At 42.7% G+C, this 5876-nt stretch overlaps 1 annotated feature.

The window, feature by feature from the left end:
* Positions 257-1456: an enhancer, noted in NCBI's record as "MED14-independent group 3 enhancer chr13:98381876-98383075 (GRCh37/hg19 assembly coordinates)". NCBI's record gives its function as "activates an origin of replication core promoter dependent on BRD2, BRD4, P300/CBP and CDK7 cofactors, and independent of MED14, by STARR-seq in HCT116 cells {active_cell/tissue: HCT116}" and the evidence as "EXISTENCE:reporter gene assay evidence [ECO:0000049][PMID:35650434]".

Genomic DNA, 5876 nt, shown 5'->3' on the forward strand with positions numbered 1-5876 from the left:
AAAACAACAAATTGAAAAACAAAATGAGTAATTGGTTGCTAAGCAACATCAGTGCAAAGCTCTTTCTTTCCCTTCAAGAGCATTTGCTGCATCTTTATGAACAAAAGTTAGAGTACTTAGAGCAGGCATATATTTGGTGGTGCCATCAACAGATACCAAACGAATTTTTCCTAAACACAGCATACTGCACTGCGTCAAGCACTTCAGAGTTCTGAACGGCTACCCCCTGTCCATAGGATGACGTTGCCTGTTCTGAATACTCATTTTTCTTTGTACAAACAGGTTAGATGGCCATCTTTTGGAAGTAATCAAAATAAAACAGGAGATTTTGCAAAGTCATGCAAGGACTAGAGGGGGTTAGCTGTGACCTGTCTAGTGTGAGACCCTTTGTCTGGATGCCAAGCAGCTCAAGCTAAAGGTTAGCCCCTCTTTCTCTTATCCCTTCCTGGAAAATGGATGTTTTGCTCCTGAACTGGCCTCTCTAGATGCAGACACTCACTCAAATGTGAACCAAAAGCAAAGCTAACAATGAGCTGAGGGACCACATTTCCAGGTCTGTCTAGACGACTGTCTGCTGACTCACTGGGGCACATGGCCTCCTGCATTGCCCTGCCTTGTTGCCCCTTTCCCCTCCTGCTTTCAGTTTGGCCTCACCCACTGGCCCTGACATGTACCACCACATCTCTTACCTAACATCTATTTTAGACTCAATTCCCCTAATCAAGCTTACCAAAATCCTTAGAACTCATTTCTTGCTGTTTTCTCCCAGCTCCAAACAACAGGGCACCTTTCCTAGCAGCAGGACACCGACGCACTCTAGGAAGTATCATCCAATGTGCAGCTGCCCGACGGACGCCACTTGACCCAAAAGGAAGCAGACAGCAGAATGGACTCTGTAAGCATTTCCATCAGGGATACAGAAAGTTGCTCATCCCAGAGCTCTTAAAGCACCTGTTATGTGTAAGACACTGTTCAGAGCTGTGGATATTAAAACAAAAGAAACAGTTTGATTTTTGAGGAAATAAGACTAACACAAAAGAAGGCAGTGGGGAGGAGCCAAGATGGCCGAATAGGAACAGCTCCGGTCTACAGCTCCCAGCATAAGCGGCGCAGAAGCCGGGTGATTTCTGCATTTCCATCTGAGGTACCGGGTTCATCTCACTAGGGAGTGCCAGACAGTTGGTGCAGGTCAGTGGGTGCGCGCACCATGCACAAGCCGAAGCAGGTCGAGGCATTGCCTCACTCGGGAAGCGCAAGGGGTCAAGGAGTTCACTTTCCTAGTCAAAGAAAGTGGTGACAGACGGCACCTGGAAAATCGGGTCACTCCCACCCGAATACTGCGCTTTTCCGACGGGCTTAAAAAACGGCGCACCAGGAGATTATATCCCGCACATGGCTCGGAGGGTCCTATGCCCACGGAGTCTCCCTGATTGCTAGCAGAGCAGTCTCAGATCAAACTGCAAGGCGGCCTCGAGGCTGGGGTAGGGGCGCCCGCCATTGCCCAGGCTTGCTTAGGTAAACAAAGCAGCCGGGAAGCTCCAACTGGGTGGAGCCCACCACAGCTCAAGGAGGCCTGCCTGCCTCTGTAGGCTCCACCTCTGGGGGCAGGGCACAGAAAAACAAAAAGACAGCAGTAACCTCTGCAGACTTAAATGTCCCTGTCTGACAGCTTTGAAGAGAGCAGTGGTTCTCCTAGCACACAGCTGGAGATCTGAGAACAGGCAGACTGCCTCCTCAAGTGGGTCCCTGACCCCTGACCCCCGAGCAGCCTAACTGGGAGGCACCCCCCAGCAGGGGCACACTGACACCTCACACGGTCCGGTACTCCAACAGACCTGCAGCTGAGGGTCCTGTCTGTTAGAAGGAAAACTAACAAACAGAAAGGACATCCACACCAAAAATCCATCTGTACATCACCATCATCAAAGACCAAAAGTAGATAAAACCACAAAGATGGGGAAAAAAACAGAGGAAAAAAACTGGAAACTCTAAAAAGCAGAGTGCCTCTCCTCCTCCAAAGGAACGCAGTTCCTCACCAGCAATGGAACAAAGCTGGATGGAGAATGACTTTGACGAGTTGAGAGAAGAAGGCTTCAGACGATCAAATTACTCCGAGCTACGGGAGGACATTCAAACCAAAGGCAAAGAAGTTGAAAACTTTGAAAAAAATTTAGAAGAATGTATAACTAGAATAACCAGTACAGAGAAGTGCTTAAAGGAGCTGATGGAGCTGAAAACCAAGGCTCAAGAACTACATGAAGAATGCGGAAGCCTCAGGAGCTGATGTGATCAACTGGAAGGAAGGGTATCAGCAATGGAAGATGAAATGAATGAAATGAAGCGAAAAGGGAAGTTTAGAGAAAAAAGAATAAAAAGAAATGAGCAAAGCCTCCAAGAAATATGGGACTATGTGAAAAGACCAAATCTACGTCTGATTGGTGTACCTGAAAGTGACGGCAAGAATGGAACCAAGTTGGAAAACACTCTGCAGGATATTATCCAGGAGAACTTCCCCAATCTAGCAAGGCAGGCCAATGTTCAGATTCAGGAAATACAGAGAATGCCACAAAGATACTCCTCGAGAAGAGCAACACCAAGACACATAATTGTCAGATTCACCAAAGTTGAAATGAAGGAAAAAATGTTAAGGGCAGCCAGAGAGAAAGGTCAGGTTACCCTCAAAGCGAAGCCCATCAGACTAACAGCAGATCTCTCAGCAGAAACCCTACAAGCCAGAAGAGAGTGGGGGCCAATATTCAACATTCTTAAAGAAAAGAATTTTCAACCCAGAATTTCATATCCAACCAAACTAAGCTTCATAAGTGAAGGAGAAATAAAATACTTTACAGACAAGCAAATGCTGAGAGATTTTGTCACCACCAGGCCTGCCCTAAAAGAGCCATGAAGGAAGCGCTAAACATGGAAAGGAACAACCAGTACCAGCCACTGCAAAATCATGCCAAATTGTAAAGACCATCGAGACTACGAAGAAACTGCATCAACTAATGAGCAAAATAACCAGCTAACATCATAATGACAGGATCAAATTCACACATAACAATATTAACTTTAAATGTAAATGGACTAAATGCTCCAATTAAAAGACACAGACTGGCAAATTGGATAAAGAGTCAAGACCCATCAGTGTGCTATATTCAGGAAACCCATCTCATGGGCAGAGACACACATAGGCTCAAAATAAAAGGATGGAGGAAGATCTACCAAGCAAATGGAAAACAAAAAAAGGCAGGGGTTGCAATCCTAGTCTCTGATAAAACAGACTTTAAACCAACAAAGATCAAAAGACACAAAGAAGCCCATTACTTAATGGTAAAGGGATCAATTCAACAAGAAGAGCTAACTATCCTAAATATATATGCACCCAATACAGGAACACCCAGATTCATAAAGCAAGTCCTGAGTGACCTACAAAGAGACTTAGACTCCCACACATTAATAATGGGAGACTTTAACACCCCACTGTCAACATTAGACAGATCAATGAGACAGAAAGTCAACAAGGATACCCAGGAATTGAACTCAGCTCTGCACCAAGCGGACCTAATAGACATCTACAGAACTCTCCACCCCAAATCAACAGAATATACATTTTTTTCAGCACCACACCACACCTATTCCAAAATTGACCACATAGTTGGAAGTAAAGCTCTCCTCAGCAAATGTAAAAGAACAGAAATTATAACAAACTGTCTCTCAGACCATAGTGCAATCAAACTAGGACTCAGGATTAAGAAACTCACTCAAAACCACTCAACTACATGGAAACTGAACAACCTGCTCCTGAATGACTACTGGGTACATAATGAAATGAAGGCAGAAATAAAGATGTTCTTTGAAACCAACAAGAACAAAGACACAACATACCAGAATCTCTGGGACACATTCAAAGCAGTGTGTAGAGGGACATTTATAGCACTAAATGCCCACAAGAGAAAGCAGGAAAGATCCAAAATTGACATCCTAACATCACAATTAAAAGAACTAGATAAGCAAGAGCAAACACATTCAAAAGCTAGCAGAAGGCAAGAAATAACTAAGATCAGAGCAGAACTGAAGGAAATAGAGACACAAAAAACCCTTCAAAAAATTAACGAATCCAGGATCTGGTTTTTTGAAAGGATCAACAAAATTCATAGACCACTAGCAAGACTAATAAAGAAAAAAAGACAGAAGAATCAAATAGACACAATAAAAAATGATAAAGGGGATATCACCACCGATCCCACAGAAATACAAACTACCATCAGAGAATACTACAAACACGTCTACGCAAATAAACTAGAAAATCTAGAAGAAATGGATAAATTCCTTGACATATACACTCTCCCAAGACTAAACCAGGAAGAAGTTGAATCTCTGAATAGACCAATAACAGGCTCTGAAATTGTGGCAATAATCAATAGCTTACCAATGAAAAAGAGTCCAGGACCAGATGGATTCACAGCCGATTCTACCAGAGGTACAAGGAGGAACTGGTACCATTCCTTCTGAAACTATTCCAATCAATAGAAAAAGAGGGAAACCTCCCTAACTCATTTTATGAGGCCAGCATCATCCTGATACCAAAGCCGGGCAGAGACACAACCAAAAAAGAGAATTTTAGACCAATATCCTGGATGAACATTGATGCAAAAATCCTCAATAAAATACTGGCAAACCGAATCCAGCAGCACATCAAAAAGCTTATCCAACATGATCAAGTGGGCTTCATCCCTGGGATGCAAGGCTGGTTCAATATACACAAATCAATAAATGTAATCCAGCATATAAACAGAACCAAAGACAAAAACCACATGATTATCTCAATAGATGCAGAAAAGGCCTTTGACAAAATTCAACAACCCTTCATGCTAAAAACTCTCAATAAATTAGGTATTGATGGGATGTATCTCAAAATAATAAGAGCTATCTATGACAGACCCACAGCCAATATCATACTGAATGGGCAAAAACTGGAAGCATTCCCTTTGAAAACTGGCACAAGACAGGGATGCCCTCTCTCACCACTCCTATTCAACATAGTGTTGGAAGTTCTGGCCAGGGCAATTAGGCAGGAGAAGGAAATAAAGGGTATTCAATTAGGAAAAGAGGAAGTCAAATTGTCCCTGTTTGCAGATGACATGATTGTATATCTAGAAAACCCCATTGTCTCAGCCCAAAATCTCCTTAAGCTGATAAGCAACTTCAGCAAAGTCTCAGGATACAAAATCAATGTACAAAAATCACAAGCATTCTTATACACCAACAACAGACAAACAGAGAGCCAAATCATGAGTGAACTCCCATTCACAATTGCTTCAAAGAGAATAAAATACCTAGGAATCCAACTTACAAGGGATGTGAAGGACCTCTTCAAGGAGAACTACAAACCACTGCTCAAGGAAATAAAAGAGGATACAAACAAATGGAAGAACATTCCATGCTCATGGATAGGAAGAATCAATATCGTGAAAATGGCCATACTATCCAAGGTATTTTACAGATTCAATGCCATCCCCATCAAGCTACCAATGACTTTCTTCACAGAATTGGAAAAAACTACTTTAAACTTCATATGGAACCAAAAAAGAGCCCGCATCACCAAGTCAATCCTGAGCCAAAAGAACAAAGCTGGAGGCATCACACTACCTGACTTCAAACTATACTACAAGGCTACAGTAACCAAAACAGCATGGTACTGGTACCAAAACAGAGATATAGATCAATGGAACAGAACAGAGCCCTCAGAAATAACACCACATATCTACAGCTATCTGATCTTTGACAAACCTGAGAAAAACAAGCAATGGAGAAAGGATTCCCTATTTAATAAATGGTGCTGGGAAAACTGGCTAGCCATATGTAGAAAGCTGAAA

This window comes from Homo sapiens, chromosome 13 (assembly GCF_000001405.40).
Source record: "Homo sapiens chromosome 13, GRCh38.p14 Primary Assembly".
Classification (NCBI taxonomy): Eukaryota; Metazoa; Chordata; class Mammalia; order Primates; family Hominidae; genus Homo; species Homo sapiens.